At 49.2% G+C, this 23,850-nt stretch overlaps 1 protein-coding gene across 3 annotated transcripts in view, besides 5 other annotated features; it reads right to left on the bottom strand.

The window, feature by feature from the left end:
* The window catches only part of SH3BP4 (SH3 domain binding protein 4), a 103,698-nt gene that overhangs the window by 79,620 nt on the left and 228 nt on the right, over positions 1 to 23,850 (bottom strand). Inside the window, exon 2 of one of the 3 annotated variants that reach the window (XM_047443849.1) lies at positions 10,322 to 23,380. The exons of 1 other annotated variant lie outside the window; for it this stretch is intronic. The gene's annotated coding sequence lies outside the window, so the exon portion shown is untranslated. Of the gene's footprint in view, positions 1 to 10,321; positions 23,381 to 23,850 lie in introns of those variants that run through there. One more of the 3 variants, NM_001371302.1, reaches the window with a different exon arrangement.
* Positions 255 to 822: an enhancer, noted in NCBI's record as "H3K27ac-H3K4me1 hESC enhancer chr2:235883917-235884484 (GRCh37/hg19 assembly coordinates)". NCBI's record gives its function as "activates a minimal SCP1, AML or CMV promoter by ChIP-STARR-seq in naive H9 embryonic stem cells {active_cell/tissue: H9 hESC(naive)}" and the evidence as "EXISTENCE:reporter gene assay evidence [ECO:0000049][PMID:30033119]".
* Positions 823 to 1,390: an enhancer, noted in NCBI's record as "H3K27ac-H3K4me1 hESC enhancer chr2:235883349-235883916 (GRCh37/hg19 assembly coordinates)". NCBI's record gives its function as "activates a minimal SCP1, AML or CMV promoter by ChIP-STARR-seq in naive and primed H9 embryonic stem cells {active_cell/tissue: H9 hESC(naive and primed)}" and the evidence as "EXISTENCE:reporter gene assay evidence [ECO:0000049][PMID:30033119]".
* Positions 1,391 to 1,958: an enhancer, noted in NCBI's record as "H3K27ac-H3K4me1 hESC enhancer chr2:235882781-235883348 (GRCh37/hg19 assembly coordinates)". NCBI's record gives its function as "activates a minimal SCP1, AML or CMV promoter by ChIP-STARR-seq in primed H9 embryonic stem cells {active_cell/tissue: H9 hESC(primed)}" and the evidence as "EXISTENCE:reporter gene assay evidence [ECO:0000049][PMID:30033119]".
* Positions 10,718 to 11,280: an enhancer, noted in NCBI's record as "H3K4me1 hESC enhancer chr2:235873459-235874021 (GRCh37/hg19 assembly coordinates)". NCBI's record gives its function as "activates a minimal SCP1, AML or CMV promoter by ChIP-STARR-seq in naive H9 embryonic stem cells {active_cell/tissue: H9 hESC(naive)}" and the evidence as "EXISTENCE:reporter gene assay evidence [ECO:0000049][PMID:30033119]".
* Positions 22,976 to 23,625: an enhancer, noted in NCBI's record as "H3K27ac hESC enhancer chr2:235861114-235861763 (GRCh37/hg19 assembly coordinates)". NCBI's record gives its function as "activates a minimal SCP1, AML or CMV promoter by ChIP-STARR-seq in naive and primed H9 embryonic stem cells {active_cell/tissue: H9 hESC(naive and primed)}" and the evidence as "EXISTENCE:reporter gene assay evidence [ECO:0000049][PMID:30033119]".

The raw sequence follows: 23,850 nt of genomic DNA, 5'->3' as shown, positions 1-23,850 counted from the left end.
CATCCCTGGTGCCAAACTCGGCACAGACTCCCGTGTTCTGGGGTCCTCGTTCAATTTGGAGAGCTCAGTTTCTATGGGGCTGACGAGACAGGAAACTGAGGCTGGAGAAAAGAAATAGCTTCTTTTAGGCAGAGAAGTGGGGAAGCCACTAGAGGTTAGAGAGAAGCTAAGGTTGAATGTTCCTGGTCAAACTACTTTTATTTATTTTTTATTTTTTTTGAGAGAGGGTCTTGCTCTGTTGCCCAGGCTGGAGTACAATGGCATGACTGCAGCTCACTGCAGCCTCAATCTCCTGGGCTCAGGTGATCTTCACACCTCAGCCTCCCGGGTAGCTGAGTCTACAGGCATGCACCACCATGCCCAGCTAATTTTCATGTTTTTTGCAGAGATGGGGTTTCACCATGTTGCTCAGGCTGGATTTGAACTCCTGGACTCAAGGAATCCTCCTGTTTCAGTCTCCTGAAGTGTTGGGATTACAGACATGAACCACGGCGCCCAGCCTCAAACAACTTTCATTCAATTTTTGACCCTCAAAGCTTGAGCGAACTGCTCGGTGCCTCAGTTTCCCCATATATGAAATGAAGCCACTTACAGTGCTTGTCTTGCAGGTAGGATTCTAGAATTAGGCCCGATCCTGAGGTTAAAGCCACATTAGACGATGGGACTCAGATGCTGGAGGTAAGGGACACTGTGCTTAGGTGCAGACAGAGTTCTGGGCTCCAGTCTGGCCGCCGTGACCTCAGCAAGTGCCTGCACCTCGCCAGGCCTGGCTTCCCCACGAGTGATAGGGAGAACAGCAGCAGCTCCAGCCATAGCACCCTGCACCCTCAGTGACACGTCTGTCGTCCTGCAACTGCTGCTGTCCCCGATGTTACTGCCATTTCCTGGAGGCAAGAAACCAATTCCCTGTGGGATAACAATGCAACCAACCACAAAATGCCTGTCTCCCCAGGAGCTCTCCAACAACTGTCTCACCAGAAATACTCAATCCCGGCACCAAACGAACCCAGAGAAATACATCGCAAGCCAACCTTCCCCTGTCCAGTTCCTGAAACTCCGAGAATTGCAAGGCAGCTGCCTGCCGCCCGAGCTTGGCCTGCTCCGAGGGACGGGACTGAGACGTGTGCTGGGCATGCTTCCCACATGCCTCTAATCAGGCTAAGTTTTATTATGATCCCCATCACAAATCGCCACGTAACGGGGCAGGCAGGGCGTGCCAGGGTGAAACGCGACCTGCAGCACCCCCAGTGTGGGCACACTGACTGGCTCAGATTCCTTCCCCTCCCCTCACCCTTGTCCAGAAAGCACCCCAACACCAGCCAGGGAACAAAGAGGAGGCAGACAGGAGCCAGAGAAGCTGGCAAGGAACCCCTCGATTTTTCGGAACTAAGAGAGCTTGTGAACGCCCTGGGCCGCGGGCTGCATGAAGCCCTTGTTAGTGTAAAATGAGACCAGGGAACGGGGGCCCTGAGCACCAGAAGGCCCGCGCCAGCCTAACACTAAGGCAAGAAACTGAAGGGCTAAACACAGAAGCTTTTTCTGGGCTTCCAAGTGGACTCAGCACATCCTGTGGTGGGATGCAGGATACTCCTGTTAGCTCCAGGGCTGCCTGTCCACAGAGCAACTCATCCTGCCCATTTCACCAACGTAGCATTTTATGGAGCAGTGAAATGGGCTGGAACTCATGACCTTCACAAATCTCTCTTTCTCTTTTATTTATTTATTTTTTTTTAGACAGAGTTTCGCTCTTTGCCCAGGCTGGAGTGCAATAGTGCGATCTTGGCTCACTGCAACCCCAGCCTCCCGGGTTCAAGTGATTCTCCTGCTTCAGCCTCCTGAGTAGTTGGGATTACAGGTGTGCGCCACCATGCCCGGCTAATTTTGTATTTTTATTAGAGATGGGGCTTCACCACGTTGGCCAGGCTGGTCTCGAACTCCTGACCTCAGGTGATCCACCTGCCTCGGCCTCCCAAAGTGCTGGGATTACAGGGGTGAGCCACTGCGCCAGGTCCTTCACAAATCGCTAAATGAGTTTTCCCAGAGCCAGTGAGGAGCTGCTGAGTTCTGAAAGCCTCCCCTGTTGACTTACTAGACCCGGAGCACTTGGAGACTGGCTCATGTTGGCAGTGCAGCCTCACAGCCCCCCAAAAATCCAGGCTTGGCCAGGTGCAGTGGCTCACATCTATAGTCCCAGCACTTTGGGAAGCTGAGGCAGGAGGATCCCTTGACCCCAGGAGTTTGAGACTAGCCTGGGCAACATAGGGAAACTCTCTACAAAAACAGTTGTAAAACTTAGCTGGGTGTGGTAGCACACGCCTGTGGGCCCAGCTACTCAGGAGGCTGAGGCAGGAGGATCCCTTGAGCCCAGAAGTCACTCATCCTTGTGCCCTCCACTCCAGCCTGGGCAACAGAGCAAGACGGTGCCTAAAAAAAAAAAAAAATCCAGGCTTTACACAGAAGGGCTTCTGGGAGCCTACAGCTGAATTAAGTGAGAAAGGGCAGGTACTGTCTGTTCAGGGGGGTACGTATTGCATACGACTGCCTCAGAAAGTCAAATTGCTTTGGGACTGGTGCCTCCTGCATAAGAGGTGGTCAACAAATCCTCGATGACTTGATTTCAGGACAGAGCACTGGAATGACTTCTGCAAAGTGAGGCTGTACATACTGCTTAGAAATGCTGCAAAGATGCCAATCTTAGCAAGGAAGATTGGAAGGGAAATGTTAAAACCGGGAGGGCACAGGGGTAGGTGAACCACTGTGTTCCATCAGCGAGGGGTCACGAAACAGCACTGAAAATAATTTCCCCGGAAGATGGCCTTCCACCTCCCACCAGGGATGGCTCACAGGTGGATGGTGTGTGGGCGACGTCAGCACTGCCAGTGAAACCACCCAGTGAAAGAAGCAGGGTGCAGATATGAACACAAATGACCCCATCTAAAAAGAATGTCTCTGTGATTTAGCTCACAGTAATGGAGTTAAGGGAAGTCGGGTGATTTTTAATTTCTTTCCGAGGCTCTATTTTCTACATCTTCTATGATACACATGTAACTCACCAACAGACAAAAGGACAATGGCTGGCCATACTTTAGAGTCACCAGGAGGCTTGAGTCTCAGCCCTCAGGTCTGCGGTGATGTCTGTGTTCTGCACGTGTTTTTCAACACAACCTACTTCAACTACATTCACTCTCAACAATCTGCAAAGGTAAAGGTGGCTTTGGAAGAGTGAAGCCGGGAAAAAGGCTTGTTCCCACTTTTTACGGAAGGAACTTCTCTCTGCAGTCTGTTCAGAAATAAGCTCCCCAAGCAAACGTGCAATGAAAGAAAACACACACTATCTAAAACAATTCACTTGAGCTTTATTTATTTTTTTTTAACAAGGTCTTGCTCTGTACCCAGGCTGGAGTGCAGCAGCATGATCACAGCTCACTGCAGGCTTGACCTCCTGGGCTCAGCCATCCTCCTGCCTCAGTCTTCCCAGTAGCTGGGACTACAGGTACATGCCACCATGCCCAGCTAATTTTTTGTATTTTTTTGTAGAGACAGGGTTTCACTATGTTGCCCATGCTGGTCTCAGACTGATGGGCTCAAGCGATCCTCCTGCCTCAGCTTCCCTCCTCCCTCCTCCATCTCTACCAAAAAAAGAAAAAATACAAAAAAACTGAAGGGATTACAGGTATGAGCCACCATGCTTCCCAGCACTTTGGGAAGCCTAGGCAGGTGGATTACCTGAGGTCAGGAGTCCGAGACCAACCTGGCCACATGGTAAAGCCCTGTCTCTACTAAAAAAATACAAAAATTAGCCGGGCATGGTGGTGCGTGCCTATAATCCCAGCTACTCAGGAGGCTGAGGCATGAGAATCACTTGAACCCAGGAGGCAGAGGTTGCAGTGAGCCAAGATGGCGCCACTGCCCTCCAGCCTGGGCGACAGATTGAGACACTGTCTCAAAACAAAAAAAAAACAAAAAACAAAAAAAAAAAAGGCCGGGCACGGTGGCTCACACCTGTAATCCCAGCACTTTGGGAGGCTGAGACGGGTGGATCATGAGGTCAAGAGATGGAGACCATCCTGGCCAACATGGTGAAACCCCGTCTCTACTAAAAATACAAAAATTAGCTGGGCATGGTGGCACACGCCTGTAGTCTCAGCTACTCTGGAGGCGGAGGCAGGAGAATCGCTTGAACCTGGGAGGCAGAGGTTGCAGTGAGCCAAAATCACGCCATTGCACTCCAGCCTAGCGACAGAGCAAGACTCCGTCTCAAAAAAAAAGAAAAGAAAAAAAGAAAAAGGAAAACTTTACAGAAAATTTAAGTTAATAAATGCAGTTTAAAGAAGGGAAGCTGGCCAACATCATGAGTCATCAGAGAGATGCAAATCAAAAACACTGTGGGAGACCACCACACACCTGCTGAGACAGCTACTGTCAAAAAACCAGAAAATAACAAACGCTGGTGAGGATGTGAAGGAACCGGAACCCTTGTACACTGTCGACGGAAATGCCAAATGGAGTGACTGCTAAGGAAAACAATATGGAAGTGCCTCAAAAAATTAAAAATAGAATTACCATATAATCCAGCAATTCCACCTCTGGGAATATACCCAAAAGAGCTGAGAGCAGGGTCTCAAAGAGATATCTGCACACCCAGGTTCACAGCAGCATTATTCGCAATAGCCACGAGGTACAACTCAAATGTCCATGGACAGATGAATGGATAAATAAAATATAACATATACATATAATGGAATATTATGCAGCCTTCAACTGTAACATGATAGGCCACAGCATGGATGAACCTTGAAGACACTATGCTAAGTGAAATATGCCAATCACAAAAAGACAAATATTGTATGATTCCACCTACGTGAGGTACCTGTAGTAATCAAATTCATAGCAACAGAAAGTGGAATGGTGGGTGCCAAGAGCTGGGGGAGGAGGAAACGGGTACAGAATTTTCATTCTGCAAGATGAAAAAGGTGTGAAGATTCTGCTGTACAACACTAAGGCAACTGAACTGTATGCTCCAGATGGTTAGGATGATAACATTTATATTATGTCTTTTACCACAATTTTAGAATTTTTTTAAAGGCAGTGGGGGAAGGCCATAATGAGTAGCCTATTTTGTTGTCTTCATGTAGTCTCTGAAGAAATTTGTGTCCGGTAACTCACGCTGCAGCCATCCCCACATCTACCTTCTTTCAATCTGGGCGTGATAACCTACAGAACAATTCCAACGCAGTTAAAAAAAAAAAGTCAACCCTCTCTCCAATTGCTTTTACGAGGCAAAAAGTGATCCTGATCCCCAGCGCTAATAAACAAAAAAGAAAACGACACATAAATCCCATCTGGGAATACAGACATGGAAACCTACGCAACAGAAGTCAGCTGAAGAGTGCACCCCAATTAGCTGGAATTAGCGGCGGAATGCAAGGCGGGCGCCCCGAGGGAAGGCGCTCCAGGAAAGGAGGGTGACTCACTGTTCACTTTCTATGTGTCTGTAATGTTTGGAATGACTACAAAGGCTTTTATTATTCCTACAATAAAAAGAGTTATGCACACCCGAAGTTTTGTAAAACCATGATCTCAGAAATGATACCACTCAAGACACGTATTCCAAAGGAGGTAACTGTCTAAACTGCTCATTTTCAATCCCAGTTGGGCCTATCGAGTCACCTAGGATGCTTTTAAAATTAAAAAGCCAGAGGTCCCAGTTCCAGGCCAATGGAATCTCTAGGGGAAGGACCTGAGCAGTATCTTTAACCTTCACAGTTGATTCTGATGCACAAAGGAGAAGTCCCGCCAAGGTTTACAGAGGGGTTAAGGCTTCTCTACATTTAAGATTCCATCCGGCCAGTCCTTCGGCATCAGCGTTCCCAAATGTTTTGAGTTCTGACCAATACGGCTACAACTAAAGCAGAAGCGCTCTAGAAACAAAGGGGGAGTGTGAGTGAGTGTGAGAGTGTGTGTGTAAGAGTGTGAGAGTGTGTGTGAGTGAGTGTATTTGTGAGTGTGTGTGAGTGACAGTGTGAGTGTGTGTATGAGTGTGTGTGAGTAAGTGTATTTGTGAGTGTGTGACAGTGTGTGTGTGTGAGACAGCGAGTGTGTGTATGTGGGAGTGTGTGTGAGAGTGTGTGTGTGTGAGAGACAGGGAGTGTGTGTGTATGCAAATGTGTGTGTGTGACAGAGTGTGTGTAAGTGTGTGTGTGAGAGACAGCGAGAGTGTGTGAGAGAGACAGAGAAAGAGGGGGTGTGTGTGTGCGCGCAAGCACGCGTCTCAGCCTGAAAGCTGAGAAGGAAGGTCCCACTGGGCAGAGGCAGTAAGGGAAAGGCTGGGGTACACACATGCTTCCCTGAGAGGACCCACAGGCATCCTAGGGGCCCACCAGAGGAGGCAGGGCAGGAGCAGGCTCGGGATAAAACCCTCCAAGTCCAGCCTGCCAGGCTCCGTGTGCTGTGTGGAAAAGCGGAGGCTTATTCTGTACAACCACGAAGCCCTTGGAAGTCTGCAGGCCAGGAAGAGGCACGATCAGATCTGTGTTTTCAGTCCTTGGAATAGCTGGAAGGCGACAACTGGCGCTGAAGGCAGCCTGTGCGTGTCTGCTGAGAGAATCAACGAATGAATGGGCAGGAGGAACAAGGGTGGCCTCCCAGTCAGAGGCCAGGGTCACAGAGCCACCTACTCAGAGCCAGCACACACTGGGACGTCCCAGGGCTGCACGTGATGACATGCAACTTCCAAACTTCAGGGGAGGGGACTTGACCATGAGGAAGGAGCATAGACCCAGACTCTACCGTTCCCCAAAGCCACCCGCAGATCAGAGCACCGAACGTACAAAACCAAAACCACCCACAAAATTCTGCAAAAAGCCAATAAGTGAGATAGCCTAAGCTGTCAGTCTGCCTAACAAGACTGGCAACTTCAACAACACAAAATTAGAACCTCTCAAATGAAAGCTCCCCTGTGGCTACGGGGAAGAGGCGCCCTGGGGGAAGTAGCCCTGGGCTGAGACTAGCTTGAATGCTCTCCTTTCTAAAGCTAACAGCAAAGTCGCCTGGAACCAGGGTGGCTGGTCTCGCTTCCAAATCATAAAGGAAGAAAGAGCTCTAGAAGACAGCATCTTCAAAGAAGAGGGCAGTGATCAACTGTGTGAGTTACAACACCAAATATGAAAACTGGCAGAAAGAATCACTTGCACACTGTTTGCATAAAATAAAACCACAATGAAATGACCTAGAAAGGGAGGCAATAAAAGGGTATCAGGAAAAGTATGAAATACACACACACAGGATTTCTCTACTGGTAAAATTGCAAAGCAACGGAAACATCCAATTATGCCGAAAGAACGACTAAAACATATGGTAAAAGCCGTGAGTGTGGATCGGGGAAGGGGCAAGGCAGCAGCCACACAGGGAAACCCAAGCCCGTCTCTTGAGACCTGACAGTCCAACAGACAAGACACATGGCATGCGACGTGAAATACGATATAATCAAGCTTCATTTAACTGATCTATCTGAAACCCCGTGTCCCAGAGAAAATACAATCGATTTGCAAGTATCCAAGGAATAACCACAAACACTGAAGGCATTCTCAGCCAAAGAAAATTTCAATAAATTCTCCAAAGTAAAAAACTGTACTAGACACCACCTGGCCCCAATGCAATAATTCTAGAGGGTAACTAGAAAATAAGAGTAAACAACTTGAAAAAAAAAAAAAAAAAAGAACAACTCTGTTGAGTTAAAGACTCCTTAGAAGGTACACGGAGAACACCCCAAGGTCCATCCGGTTCTACAAACTCACTGGGCATCAGGTGGCCGTGTTTCTGCAACCCCTCATGGAAACACAAGCCCCCAGTCCCCACCTCATAAGTCTACTGATGTTGCTACTAACAAATATTCCCTGAATAGAGTTCAGATTTCCAAAGGGGAAAACCTAGAACACTCCATCTATTATCATTGCTACCACCGAGCTGACCAGATCCCTAACTACCTGGCTACAGCCCAGCTGCTCCCTTCATTCCATCAGCTACGGACTGGTTGGTGGAACCAGGTGGACCTGGGTGTGGTCGCCCTCACCTGAGCAAGGGAAGGAGCGGGCTTCTCCACAGGTGGCAGGAAACCCAGCAGGTGCCTTCACCATCTGGGTGGGAGCTTCCGGTCCTGCACTAACTCTTAGATGAACACACAATGGCCAATCAGAGAAGCCCCACAAAGTACAGATACCTGAGGGCAAGCTTCTCAGGTATAAAGAGTTGTCTCTGCAGCATCCGCCACTCAGGGTGGCAGGGATCCTGGCTCTGATCCTCTCCACCAAGGGTCCACTGTGGCTGCCCCTGTGCCACACCTCCCAAAGCGGGACTCAGCATCACTGGGTCACTGGGTGAGGGGCTTCAGTGACACCTGTCTGTGCAGAGGTGAGCACCAAGAACCAAGAACCCAGGGAGCCAGGGAGGCACGGGAAGGAGGTAACCTGACGCGGATATGGAGCCATGAGAATAATTCCTTATTGCAATGAGCGCAGCTCCAATACCACTTAGGGAAGTGCAAGGCTGCTGCAGAAGCTGCAGGGCTGGAAGGTCGAGGACTGCTGCAGGAGACTCCAAGCAGGCAGGGAAGATGGAGAGCCCACGTGTCAGGGTGTAGTGGTGAGACCGCAGCTCCACACCCTCTTGGTGTTAGGGCCTTCCCCTCATCCTCCAAGGAGTGCTCCTGCTGTAGGTCTGAACTCATCCTCCTGATTACCCACCTGGCAACCTCCCGCCCACCCTCACACGTCATCTGCGACCTCAGGTTCCCTACCTCCCACAACACAGCCCCATCCTGCTCCCCAGTCTGGTCCCGGTTAAGCACCTTGTTCACCCTGGAATTGAGACCTGGCCCCCCGTGTAGGGGAGAACAGTATCATGGTTGAGACAGCCTGGACTTAACTCCTGGCTTCTGCACTTCCCAGCTCACACAAGTCCCTAAACCCCATGGTTCCTCAGTTTCCCGATCTGTTAAACAGAGACAGTAAGAGTCCCTCCCCTCCTATGGTTGTAAGGTTGTAAAGCGCTGAAAACACAGGATGGCATGCAGCCCTATTCTATTACTATTATTACTATAAGCACAATATATGTGTTATGCATGAACACCAAACAAGAATCAGAAAGAGGGAATACATAAATGTGATTAGTTAGCGAAGTAGGATTATGTATTTTTAATATTTCTACTATCAAGAATAATGTTACCTTAATTAAGCAAAGCTTTTTTTACATTTTCTGCCAGACAGGCAACGTTCACATTAGTTTGACACCAGGTCCATTTGCCGCCAATGAAAATAACTATTTCCAAAGTTTCAAAAGACCCTTATAATTCAAAGGAATATTAGAGAGTCAAAATGATGTCCAAGTCACAGGCATCCTCAAATGCAGAATGTGAAATAGAGTTTGCAGAAAATTAAAATCAACATGCCGGTGCCTTGTGTCTCCAATTCCCCTCGGTTAATATCCAGACCTAAGTGCCACACACAAGATTTACTGCGTGGTATTTCAGATACTTGCTATGTTCACGGACACATTAATTATCCTCTTGGCTTTAGTTTCATCATAAAATGGAAACAAAACCATTTACTCCACTGAGTTTTCCTGAGGATTAAGAAAGTGAAATAACCTAGTACAGTGACTGCCTGTAGCTGCTCTACAAATTTTAGCCACCACCTCCCTTCCTCCTCTTTTTTTAATTATCATTTTTTTAAACCGAGTTTCGCTCTGGTTGCCCAGGCTGGAGTGCAATGGCGCAATCTCGGCTCACTGCAACTTCGACCTCCTGGGCTCAAGCGATTCTCCTGCCTTAGCCTCCCAAGTAGCTGGGATTACAGGCCAGGCCTGGTTAATTTTGTATTTTTAGTAAAGATGGGGATTCACCATGTTGGCCAGGCTGGTCTGGAACTCTTGACCTCAAGTGATCCACCTGCCTCGGCCTCCCAAAGTGTTGGGATTACAGGTGTGAGCCACCGTGCCCAGCCTCTTTCTCCTCTTTCTCCCGAAGTTTACTTTGTTTCCTTAAAGACAACGGGAGGGGTCAGGTGTAGTGAGCAGGAGATGACCATCCTCAACCTCGCCAGGCCAAATCTCAACCCAAACAACAATTGTTATTTTTGTACATTCCCTTCCAGACCCCATTTGCGAGCTCTACTGCATTGCCTATTTGCAAATCCTAGTAGCACAAGAGGACAACCACAAACAACCTGACATTCGAAGTCACACAAGCGCAAGTTTTTCCCATCATGCCTAGTTGGCAATCATCGGCTGAGCAGTAAATCAGAATTTTGTCCCGAATGTTACTCACCTGTTAGTCGCAGCCCTCCAACACAGGTTCGCTGTGGAAATCACTGCCATTTTACCCATCTTCTTGAGCATGAAAAAAACCCCCATCTTCCCAGAATAACGATCCCACTCCCAATTTAGCAAGCAGCCAATTTCTAGACAATTTGACTAATGACAAAAAAATCAGTGTTTATGACATCATCTCCCAGCTTTTCACTATTTCCTTTTCACCTTGAAAAGCTAATGGTTTTCCTCTGAGCCAGTTGAGGACAGCCGGTTTTCCTATTGCAAAAGGTTGTATTCAAGTTTTCACAGAAGAGATGGGATTAGCCAGGTTAATGTGGGTTCAACACAGAAGTCTCTCTGGATGGCCAGTAAACTCAGCAGCTCACGGGGGTGCAGAGACAGTGGCTGTCAGAAGTCTGACTACCCAGCCTGGTGAGTTTCAGAAACTGACAATTAAAGCCAGGACACAGCCTGTCCGCTGACCTTCCCTGAGGGGGAACTGCCGAGGAGTTCAAGGACTCAGCTGACCAGAGAGAGGTGCATTGATGCTGGGTGCCTCTCATGTGGTTTTCACTGGACAGTCTCCTCTTCTTCATTACCTTTTTTCTCTCTGGGATGAAAGAATGCTGTGACTCCTTCAATGATTCAACCGTCAGCTTAGTTTCTGAAGTGTTGTTTTGGGTAATAAAAGTAACTTTTAAAAGCTGTACAGGGTGATTAATCAGAGACAATTTTATAAGAATCTCACAGCAGGCCGGGAGGGAGAAGTACCACATGTGGGTCACGGGAGCACTGGGCTGGGAGACCGACTCTGCTACACGTAGTGCCAGGGCTGTGAAGATGGGGGTCTGGAACAGGATGTGGTGCACAGGGTAGCCTCCCTGCCAGGCGTCGATGATGGATGGGTCACCCCCTGTGCCAGGGAACCCCAGGCAGGTCACCCGGCCCCTTTCAAGTCACGCTTACACGTCTAATCGCGTCTTCTTGGTGCCCTTAGATACAAGTTCAAAGCGAGGGAAGTGCAGAAGGACCTGTCCGATCCAGCCACCTGCCCCGGAATCCCTCCCAGGTGCTCTTGGGAAGGGGGTCTCACTATGGCCCTCTTTTGGTTCCTTGGACTCACCAAGCCACCCTGCCCAGAACCCACCAGTCCACTGCCCCCCTAAATCACCATGCACTTCCTGGCCTGCTCATTCTTCAGGTCCCCCTACTTAGTGGGGCTTCTTTAGGGATCCTGTCCTGACCCCCAGTACAACTACAACCTCATGAACCCTGACCTTTCCCCTGGTGCACTTGAATGCCCCTTCTCCCCTGCTGGGCAGTGAACTCCCTGTGGGCAGACGCTGCATCTGGTGGGCTCCCCATTTATCTCCCCCACCCGGAATGCAGAGGGGCTCAGCAGTGAGTCAAGGAATTAAAAGGCATTAAAGCGTGAACAAGAAGAGGGAAAGAGCCAGGACCATGTCCCAGAGAGTTAGAAAAGGGGTCAGCTCTCAGGCTTGATGTCAGGGCCCCTCCCCAGCCTCCTGAAGGTGTCCTCCACACTCAGAACAAAAAACCAGAACTCATGGACAGTTTCCTGCTTCTAAGCAGCCCCTGGGGCGTGCTGGGAATGCTGGCCAGTCCCTTATCCCCATAGCTGGGGTTTCACGAAGCCCCAAAGTGCTGCCTCATGTTACCTATAGGTGGATGACTCACAAATACTGCGGTGCCAAGACCTGAGGAGGCAGCCAGGCCCCTGTGCAAAACTACAGGAGACAGGCCAAAAAATATTCCGCCCATAAATTAGTTTTCCTCTCTTGCCAGAAAGAAGGCTTGCGACACCAGACCGCAGTCAAGATCCAAATTACAGTCTTGCGATCAGCAGGAGCCATGACAAACTCTCCCCTTAGTGAACCCAGAGGTCCTGAAAACCAAGTCTGTGCTTTTACCAGATGCCAGATCCAACTGCAGTCCATCTTGTCACAGCTGATCAAGTGACACAGCCACAAAATCACTCTGGACACCCATGACGACATGACCCTGGAGAAGCTTACAACAACAGCTCCGAAGCTGAATGCATGAAAACCATCACTCATCCCCTTCTAGGAGGGAGTGGGCCCTGAAGACCTCCCAACGGAAACACCTCCTGGACTCTAGAACATACAGTTACTCCCAGATGTTAATGCTTCTGAAGCTGGCATGTATGTGTGCATCCTAAAACTGAAGTATGCGTTTAAGGCATCAACATTACTCTGTTGACCCACCCTCCCACTCCAAAAGCGCAGAACGCAAAGCACGTCAGGATCTGGAGAAACAGAAAGCATTCCCCCAAAAAGGATGGGAACAAGTACGGCCGCTCTTAAAGTTCACCAAGTTTTATACAACAGATTCTGGAACTCTTCCCAACGTCACTCCCTTTTGAGGTGCTTTTCTGTATAGTAATTATACAGTCACCCAACAATTAATATAATTATAAGTTCTTCATAGATTTTAAGCACAATAAAAGTAAAAGATTCATTCAAATGAGAAACTTAACATGCATGGAAAAATCTATATATCAAAGATGTTCATTGCAGTGTTGTTTATAATTTCAAAATAACTGGGAAGTGTCTATTCACAAACACTTATTAAACAAACAGGGTACTGTACCTGTACCTATACAAACCTGACATGAAAAATGAGGATGCAAATCTGTATTTATTGATCTGAAAATATGTCAACAATTTTAGATAAAAAGCTATTTTTAAAAGCATAGCATTGCCGGGCGTGGTGGCTCACGCCTGTAATCCCAGCACTTTGGGAGGCTGAGGCAGTTGGATCGCTTGGGATCAGGAGTTTGAGAACAGCCTGGCCAGCCTGGTGAAACTGTGTCTCTACTAAAATATTAAAATTAGTAGAAACTGTGTCTCTACTAAAATATTAAAATTACAGGCAAGTGCCTGTAATCCCAGCTACTAGGGAGGCTGAGGCGGGAGAATCGCTTGAACCTAGGAGGCGGAGGTTGCAGTCAACTGAGATTACATCACTGCACTCCAGCCTAAAAAGTCTCAAAAAAAAAAAGCATAGTATTCATTCAATAAATACTTATTGAAAAATTGCTATGTGCCAGGTACAAAGGCAAGACCACTCACTGTCTCAGCCTGTTTTTGTTTGGAAGCTCTATACTTCAAGCGAAAATATCTGAAAGACGCATATGAAAGTGTCCAGAGTGGTCATCATGGGTGGTAGAATTCCACTGATGTGATTTTTTTTCTTTTTACATTTTCTAGTGTTTCTAAAACAAACATGTACAAACATGTAATTTATTCAGTAATTTAAAATACATAAGCAGAAAAGGTTTTTTTATTATTATTTTTTTTGGAAAAGAAGAGGCCAGGCACAGTAGCTCACACCTGTAATCCCAGCACTTTGGGAGGCCAAGGCGGGCAGATCACTTGAGGTCAGGAGTTCAAGACCAGCCTGGCCAACACAGTGAAACCCCCATCTCTACTACAAATACAAAAATTACCCGAGCGTGGTGGCATGCACCTCTAATCCCAGCTACTAGGGAGGCTGAGGCACAAGAATCACTTGAACCTGGGAGGCGGAGGTTGTGGTGAGCTGACATTGGGCCACCGCACTCCAGTCTGGGTGAGAGAGGGAGACACTGTCTCCAAAAAAACCAAAAGCTGAAAGAAAATCACAAGGAACAATTCTGAAAACAACTCATATGTCTACAAAGTACTTACAGTGAACAAAAGATGTTATCACCTCCCCACCCCACCCAAGAAGTCAGGGCAGGTAAAGACCTCTTGCAAACAAAGGCACAGGGGCCTCCGGCACTTGCTGCTGGTCCTTCTATGCTACCTGCCAGAGCCACACTCCACCCCAGGTCTGGGGACCTGTAGCCTCATCAAACACATCCCCCTCCTCACCCCCACCCCCACCCCCACCACCCCACCTCCTCCAGGAACTTCAGGAACTGGGCAAAGTTGGCATGGATGAGCCCTAAACCTTATTTAGACACTTAGGACTGCATCGAGCCCCTGGTCCACACCTACGAGCTTTTTAAAGGTCAAGTTGAGCATCAGAAGAATATCAAACCCTTACACTCTGTTCAACTCAGATGCTGGAACATCACAGAAATTCTATTAACTCAGTATCTAAGAATAAACTATGGTACATGTACACAAGACAAAAGAAGCAAGGCATGATGAACTGCACGCTGACAAGCATGGGGCTCAAAACCAACATGGAGGCCGGGCGCAGTGGCTCACACCTGTAATCCCAGCACCCGGGGAGGCTGAGGCAGGTGGATCACCTGAGGTCGGGAGTTCGAGACCAGCCTGGCCAACATGGTAAAACCCCGTCTCTACTAAAAATACAAAAATTAGCTGGGCATGGTGGCGCACACTTGTAATCCCAGCTACTTGGGAGGCTGAAGCAGGAGAATCACTTCAACTCAGTGGGTGGAGATTTCAGTGAGCCAAGATCGCACCACTGCACTCCAGCCTGGGCGACAGAGCAAAACTCCATCTCAAAAACAAACAACAAACAAACAAAAACCACAGGGACAATGATGGAGCCAAATCCACAGCTAGCAGTACAGTGGCATTGAGTGTGATCTCATTTAAACTGCCCAACTCCAGGAGCGAAGTACGATGGTCATCATTTTAGAGATCAGAAGGCTGAGCCTCAAAGATGTCCAAAAATGTGACCGAGGTCATAACAGGAAGAGAAGCCAAATATTCGGACACAGACAGGTGTGTGGGGCTCAGACACCCCCTGCTCTTTCCCACTGTGATGTCCCCGCAATGAACCAGGTCCCAACAAAGAGCCATGGAGCTGCCACTGGAAAAAGGAACTTCTCATATTGCAGTCTGTGAAAACGTCATTCCAGCTATTGTTCCCTGACAATGGCTGGGAAACAAAAAACAATGTAAGAAGAACATGATACGTGAGCCATGTAATTCTTACCAAGGATCTTCCTCCATACAACAACTTTCAGTTTTGCAAATCAGGCTGTTTCAAATTTGATTGATTTCGAAGAAACAGCTGTGTACAGAAGTGTCTCAGTGCGTAACACAGGGAAAAGGCCAACAAAAATGGGAAGAATCCAAAACCACGGAAAAATCCTACATTACACAGTGCAACTGAGCATTTCAAGTGTGTGCGCACGTGGCCCCAAACAGTTGCGTCTGCTTTCCCCCAATTCAGCAGTTCTGAAAATCACAGGTGGCTCCAATAAGATACACATATAAGCAAAAATGGGCACTAAGTGAACTCTTGGGATTCTGTTTGTGATGACTAGCCAGTGCCTGATCTCCTGATGTCACCCAGAGTCAGCACCCCCTCACACAGGCCTGAAATGAGACCAAAATTCAAAATTGTGTTGATGTCCTAGTCCCACACTGTAAAGGAGAGAACCAATGGCTGCTGCTCTGTACTGAACCGGAACAGAGCATTCCTCTTACAAACATTTGAAATATCGATTCCTCAAACCACAAGATAAAAACAAAAACCCAACTTGCTAGAGGGGATATTTGGGACAGGGGTAAGGAAACGTGAGACCAGACCACAGCAGGAAGAACCACAACCATATCTGTATTCACCACTTTGCAATGGGGCATAGGCCCTGGGCCTAGCATTCTACATGAATTATGTGTAAGTATTACATCAGCTCCAATCATTATTTTCAGTTAGATCTGAATACCGTACCCTTATTTCCCATTTATGCACAGGACACATACAAATATTTGACGGCACTTGTACATCAACTATGATTGTTAGCAGGATTTAAAAATGCTTAAATGTACATGCATTTTAATAATACTCCATTTATCTCTTAATCTTAAAGCTTTTAAAAAATCAAATCCTCGCCGGGCAAGGTGGCTCATGCCTGTAATCCCAGCACTTTGGGAGGCCGAGGTGGGCAGATAAACTGAGGTCAGGAGTTCAAGACCAGCCTGGCCAACATGGTAAAACCCCACCTCTACTGAAAACACAAAAATTAGCCAGGCATGGTGGCATGCGCCTGTAATCCCAGCTACTTGGGGGGCTGAGGCAGGAGAATCACTTGAACCCAGGAGGCGGAGGTTGCAATCAGCCGAGATCGTGCCATTGCACTCCAGCGTGGGCAAGAGTGAGATTCCGTCTCAAAAAAAAAAAAAAAAAAGTCAAATCCTCTTACAAAGGGCAACAGTGGAAAATGGGTAAACAAAGGCAAGGTAAACCTACCTGAATTAAAAATTAAATTGCACAGAACTACGGGGATGGCCACTGGACAGTATTTATAAGTAAGCCGTTTATTATTCATAGGGAGGAATTACTTCTATCATATATTGTAAGTTTTACTGCCAAGATGTCAAGAAGAGAATATTGGAGTTGTCACTACATGGCTGTATGAAGTCACCACCCTAAGTTTTCACCTTGTCCAGGCTCTCTCTCTCTCTCTGCCAGCTCTTTCATGCACTGGGCATGGTGTCTGAGGGGCTCCTGTGTATGGAGGATGCAGAGATAATAAAATGCAACTGCCCCCAAGCAGCGCCCTGCCTAGGGGGACAACAGACAGGTAAGAAAGCTAGGACACAGGCAGACCCAGGTGCAGGTTCCTCGGGTGTGTCTGAGAAGGCAGTGTGAACTGGGCCTGGAAGAGCAAGTGAGTCTGCTGAATTGAGTCTTAAGGACAAATGGGCCCCCCAGCCAGCCCTCCACAAAGGCTAGTGGGAAAAAGTTGCAGATGTTATGATCTGAGAAAGCATTTGGGGAAGGTCTTTTAACCAGCTGCTCCTGGTGATCAGCTATTCACACCCAATGCTTCCCTCTCAGCATCTGCGGCCACTCCCCACCGCACGGGTACCCCAAGGAGAATTTTCCGCCCCTGCTAGAATCCCAGTCCCTCTGACCCAACCCTGGCTCCCTCCTGCCCTGTCTCCACACCATCAAATACGGTCCAATTTCTTTTATCACCAACATTCTTCTGCGTGGCCTCCACTCTGTGCTATTTCTTCTATTATAGGAGTTTCTCCACTACCACAGTGACAGGGTTCCAGTCCTCCCGTTCATAAATCCTCCGCACATGATAGACTCAGAACTGTCCCGTCTGCTTTGAGCTCTCAACCCCCTCTCCCCCTACCCCCATCTTTCTCCTCCTTGACTTCAGGGCCCCGCAGGGCACTTGTTCTCCCATCCCAGCTGCTCCTCCACTGGCTCCCCCTTAGCCTTCCTGCCCCTTCTGGGGGTGATCCAGCAGTGTGATCCTGGCCCCTGCTCTTCACTCTAGGTTCCCATGTATGAGCTCTTCCACACTCACTGCCCAACTCTAAGGAAGTGAGCCCAGGACCGCCCTCTCTCAAACAGCCCTCCTCTGGCCAGCAGGACAGACCCTTCCCCAGACACCCCCCCAGGGCGAGCACCTCCTTGAATCCTGCACCCCAGGGGCCTCGTGTGCCTCTCCCCAGTCCCAGCCCCGCTCACCATGGCTGGCTCTGAAGTTGAATGACTTTTCCCTCCCACATGCTTACTGCCTCCAAGGAAAGCTCTCACATTTTAAAATAATTTTACTGGTAATTATGATGGAGAAAAAATAATCAGCTTATGTGCGCACCCAAGCTCAAGGACTCTTACAAAGTGTTCAGCTATGGTCCTTGGGCGGTAGGGTTTCTCTTTCCTTCATCTGGGTGGTCCCAGTAAGCCCCTCTGCTTTAATATCTGAGAACAGCTCATCACACCCACCCAGGGGGTCTGCCTGGCTTCATCCTGACCCCCTGACTTCCTGGAAGGAAGACTCTTTTCCTTTCTAGACCAGCAGAAGCAACCAAAGCCAAACAAGTATGTGGACCTCATCAGTGTAGGACACGTGCCCCTGGAGGAGGACAGACCTGTTGGGGGGAAGATGGGCTCCGCCTGCCTCTCCTAGCCCAGCACTTCCTCACCCTCTACGAGGCCTTAAGGAAAAACATTCCCTGCTCTGCAAGGGAGATCTCACCTCCTTGGGCTCAAATACACAGGGTCTGCCACGCCCTGCCCCAAACTGCACCCCCTCAGCTTTCTTCTTGAACAAATTCATCACCACATCCCTGGTGTTCAACGTGGATATACATTACAGTCACCCGGGAAGCTTTCCAAATCTACAGAGGTCTGGACCCACACCCAGACATTCTGATTCAACTGGGGATGGGCCTGGAACATGGATTGTTGTTTTTTTAAGCTCCCGGGTGATTTTAAAATGCAGCCTGAGTTTTGAAGCCTTCTACTCTTGCTGGCCAAATTCGGTTACTCAGTAGTACCCAAATCCTTTTTCAGTACTGCTCCTAGGCAGACATGGACCAAGCAGAAGTGAGGCCACAATTTCTTCCATTAAAGTGATGGGGGTGACGGAAGGGGAAGCAGGGGTGTCGTGTGGGTGGGCTCAGTGCAATGAATGGTGAGCAGGACCCAGCTCTTCTTGGCTCACACAGATTGTTAACTATTTAGTAATGTTCCCAGCCCAAACTGGCAGTTTGAAATCAGGCTGGGCATGGTGGCTTGCATCTGTAATCCCAGCACTTTGGGAGGCCAAGCTGGGCCGTTCACCTGAGGTCAGGAGTTCAAGACCAGCCTAGCCAACATGGGGAAGCCGGTCTCTACTAAAAATACAAAAACTTCTGGGCGTGGTGGCACATGCCTGTTGTCCCAGCTACTCAGGAGGCTGAGGTAGGAGAACAGCTTGAATCTGGGAGGTGGAGGTTGCAGTGAGCCGAGATTGCACCACTGCACTCCAGCCAGCCTGGGTGACAGAGTGAGACTCAAAAAAAAGAAAAAGAAATTAGCCATGGTGGGAATATTTACGTCACAGAAATTGGCAGATACTGCAATCGAAGCTCTGCTTTCTCCTCAGAGAGCAGGTTTACCGGCACACTATGAGCTCAGGGACCTCCTACATTGGAGGGGCTAGAAAAGCTTCCTGCCTGCTCATAAAAATGGGGCAAGGGCAGGGCAACATACCTCACACCTGTAAGCCCAGTGCTTTGGGAGACCAAGGCTGGAGGATCACTTGAAACCAGGAGTTCAAGACCAGCCTGGACAACATAGCGAAACCCCATTTCTACAAGAATTTAAAAAAAAAAACTACCCGGGCGTGCTGGTGTGCACCTGTAGTTCCAGCTACTCAGGAGGCTGAGGAAGAAGGATTGCTTGAGCCCAGGAGTTGAAGGCTGCAGTGAGCTATGATTGAGCCACTGCACTCCAGCCTGGGCAACAGAGAAATCTCAACTCAAAAAAAAAAAAAAAAGAGGCAGGGTTGTCCTCAGTTATGCAGATTTAATAAAAACTTGGAACCATAAAATCCTTTCAAAGGAAGTATTCTTCTCAATCTCTACAGAAGAGTTGGGCTAACAGGCTTCAGCAAAGAGAGCTCCCCTGAGATAAGCTTTTATTGCGCAGATAAGAATAATCTCATTAGTATGTCATTTATTTGATTGTAAAGAGGAAGGTGGAACCCTTATTGTACATTTACTTAACCGCCTTCCTATAATCTTAATCTCATTCTAGTGACCCCATGTGCCCAAACACCCTCTTTTCACGGGACAAGGAAAGACATCGTACCAAATCCTGGGTTATCCCAACTTCAAAGTCACAATCTTCCAAATAAACCTTGCTTCGCCCTGGTGACGGGGTGAGGGTTTCACGAACAAAGGTGCAAAATGGCTGCCTTCCATTTAGGCTGAGAAAGCGTCACATGTTTTAAAGATTTCATCACCTTCAGAGTACAAGCTATTTTCTAATTGTGTGAGGGAGGCTGGCACTCCGCTATTTGCATGCCTGTATCTTCAGGCTCCAATGTGTGACTGAGAGCCGTTTGTTTCTTTAATTTCAGCACCCCGGGAGATGTGATGACGAGCTCTGGACTTGGACAGATCCAGGTTCAAATCCCAACTCAAGCACTCATTAAAGTCTAAGGTTGGAGGAGTTTCTTAAATTCTCGTAGCTTCCCTGTAAAATGAAACCCCTGGTAGTTTTCGTGAGGATTCAAAAGGGCACACATGCAGCCTAGCATATGGTAAGCCCTCAACGAGTGGTACCTATTTCCATCCCTCAAAATACCCCAAACCTTAAATTAGAGGAATTCCATACAGCAATTCTACTTCCTCAAATCCATATGCTTCCTGATGACTTCAGGAGGCACTGTTCACCTGGAAGATGGGAGGCTGTGATGTTCTACATGGGATTTTACCCTTCTTAAAACACGGCACACAGCCTCTTTCTAAAGCATATTCTGCACTCCCTCGCCCTCTGAAGACTGATTATTGAGACTTTTTCCCTTTAGCGAGGTCACGGTGGGATCAGGTGCTGGGTTATGTAACACGTGGACGCCCTCAGGGCCCACCGAGGAGCTGGTTTCGGCTTCCTGGAGGATACTGAATCAAGTAGCTGGATTGTTCCCTGGGTATTTGGGGGCTAGATGAATTGTTTTTCTGTCACTGCTCCACAGGGTGGTGGCAGAATGTGAGGCTTCTTTCGTGCAAATAGCTGGGGAGCCCAGAGACCTAGCCCAGCTCCCCAGAAGCTGAGTGTAAACGTTGCTTGGCCTGAGGCTCGCTCCTGGCCAGGAGCAAAGCTGACCCGCGCACTGAGAGTGCTCTGAGAACTCTATTTAGTGATCGGTGACCTTTTCGGATTCCTGGTTGTCAGGCGGCTACCTCGCAACAGAGAAGACCTGATGCCCACCTCCAGGGCCTTGGGAAATGTCCCAGGGGCCTGAGTCCAATTTGCAGAAGAAAAATCACAACACAGCCCAATTTAGGTGTGCAATTTGAAAATAATAAAGCTAAGGGAAATCCACATGGCTGGCCAGTTGTAAACAGCAGCTCCTACTCGGTCAAAACAAGGCTGGTACCTGAAACGAGGCTGGAACTGGGAGGTCTGCCTGGAGCCAGGGTCCAGGGACGAGGTCTGCCAGGGCCGCACTCTGGAGCTCTCAACCTTGTTTGGGTCAAGGGCTCTGTAAGAAGCTCCCCAGGAAAAGAAAGCACACACACCTCCCACGCAATTTCAGGGGAGCCAGGGGCTCTTAACTGGCCAGGATCCCAGGATTTAAAACCAGGAACACCTCCCAGGATTCAAGGGCGTAAACCACATTCACCATTCGCATATCTTATGATCAGACTAGAATCCAGCATTAGAATAAGAAGAAAGTCTATTCAAGCAGCCCAGAGGGAAATAATTCCAGGCTGCCGGATTAGCAAACAAGAGCAAGGGAGAAAAGCCAGGAAGGTCCTCCCTCCACAGAGAAAAGTAAGAGCACAATACATGAACAGACAAGGCACCCGGTGAAGGATACTTTATCAGCATTTTTTTCAGCCCACTTTCTGGGTCTTTCCAAAACCCCCTCTTGAGCTGTGATCTGCAACTAGACAGACCCTGATCAGATCCACGTGCTGGTGGAAAGGACAATTTAAAAAATGAAACTATCAAACGACAGACGGTTACAGAAAGAGGATCTTCTACCCTGATTACTTTGTTGTTGTGGGGGTGGCATGGGTGCTTGGGGACAAAAGGCATGCTGTGAAGTACCTCTCCCCACCTGGGCCTTTGGTACCCAGAATTAACAAATGGCATGGGTTCTTATTTATTGTTTTATAAGATCACTAAAATGTAGTCTTGGGACAACAGGAAAAAAATAATAATAAAGCTCACAGAAGTGTCCTGGGCTTCTCCGCAGCCGGTCATTGTTCATTTAGTAAACAAGTGAGCCATACAAATCTCTAGGAAGCCAGGTTTGTTCAGTTTATGCGTCCTCCCAGAACTAACTGTTCTTTTGGATAAGCACGGCCCGGGCATTCCACAGACCCACAAACATCAGGCAGTGGGCAATCTGGGGTCCCGCCTAAATATCACTGCCCCCTTACTTTAAGAAATCCGCCTACAAGCAGAAAGCAGAGGTGGAGGAGGGGGATTGGAGAGCGCTGCCTCTTCCCAAGCTTCCCACTCTGAGGGATTTGGCCGAGTCCCGAGGGCACTGAGCAAGGAACCAGGAATATTGTCCTCAGGGCTCCACTGGACATTCCTGGAGTCTGTTTCCTGGGCAGGACGGCCAGGTGAGAGGCAGCCTATTACACTGCATGACCACTGCAATGAGGAACAGTAGAATGTTCCCCAGCGCCTTAAAGTACAGCCGCTGTCCATCCACGGATGTCAAAACGCTCTGCAAACCACCCATTAATTTTTATGGTGGCTTGAGAAGCAGATTGAGAATCATTACCTTCATTTTTACAAGGCAAGGAACCAAAACCACAGAGGGCGGTGAGGATCCAGGCCTCTCCCATCATTTCATCTGGGCCACGGATCTCAAGGAAAGCCCCCAGCCCACTGGGAAGGGGACTCGTGGCCAGCAGAGATTCTGCCCGGGTAGGGAGCAAGGAAAAAACCCAAACTTTGGAGCTCAGAGACGGTCACAAGGGTGAGAAGGGGCGGCTGCATTCAGGGATTCTCTGGTTTAGGCAAGAATGGCTCCAGTTCTAACTTAATGTTCAAATCTGCCAGGCTGTGACAAGGCTGGTAAAAAATGTGGGATTGGGGATGGTTTCCTGTTTGCTGTTTATATTTCTCTTTATCTCTAGCTTTCTGTCCTGAGCATACATTGTTTCTGTAATCAGAACAAAAGTTATGCGAACTTTATTATTATCACGGATAAATTCTATAGTTCCAATCTGCCTACTAACTTGGAAAGAATAAGCAGGAATACAATCTCGCACAGTGTTCTTTTTCAGATCTCATCGATCCATCAGGCTCCACGACCCTCTGCTCGCTGAGTCCGGCGGCTCTCCCGCGGCTCCTCCCGCGCGGCATCTCTGGGCGCCCGACACCCGGTCAGGGCCAGCTGGGCCTGTCCCCAACCCCCGTCTACACCGCAGGCCCCGGGCTAGGAGCCGCGGGACCCAGGGTTGGGGTCCCAACTGACACCCGCCCGTGCCGCGGAGCGGGCTTCTCGGTAAACATCGCTCAGAGAACAACGCGCCTCTATCCCAGCCGGTCCCCGCCCGCGGGCCGCCGGCGCTGTCACCTCGCGGCTGCTCGGTCACCCGATCGCCAAGCCAGAAACCGGAGTTTTCAATTTCATCCTCACAGGAGGGATCTCCGAAGAAGTTGAAATATGCATTGTCACCAACAAGTTTAACCGGAGACCGCGCGTCCTTCCCTCCTCCCCAGCGCCGCTCGAGGGGGGCGCCCCGACCCCTCCACGCCCTCCCGTGGCCCCCACGGCCCCCGTGAGCCGAGCGCGCCCCCCGATTTGCGCCCGAGGACGCGTCCGGTTGCCCAGGGAGGCCACCCCGCAGGGCCGCCCGCCGGGAAGTGGCCAGAGCCGGGGTTGGGGGGCGGCCCGAGCGCACGCGGAGGGCTGCGGCTCGGCGCCCGGAACCCCGGGCCGGGTCCCTGCCCACCAGCACCAGGGAGACCCGAGCGCCCGGGGGAGCGGCGAGGGGCGCGCGAGGCTTCCCCGAAGCCGCCCCACGCCCAGGCACCCGCGCAGCCCCGAACTCAGGCGGCGGTGGCACGATCGGCGCCCGCGGCACGATCTGCGCCCGCAAGGGAGTGCAAAGCCCC

The sequence above is a fragment of the Homo sapiens genome, chromosome 2, assembly GCF_000001405.40.
Source record: "Homo sapiens chromosome 2, GRCh38.p14 Primary Assembly".
Classification (NCBI taxonomy): Eukaryota; Metazoa; Chordata; class Mammalia; order Primates; family Hominidae; genus Homo; species Homo sapiens.
The sequence above is the reverse complement of the archived record's forward strand: the minus strand, read 5'-3'. Positions and strand labels throughout refer to the sequence as shown.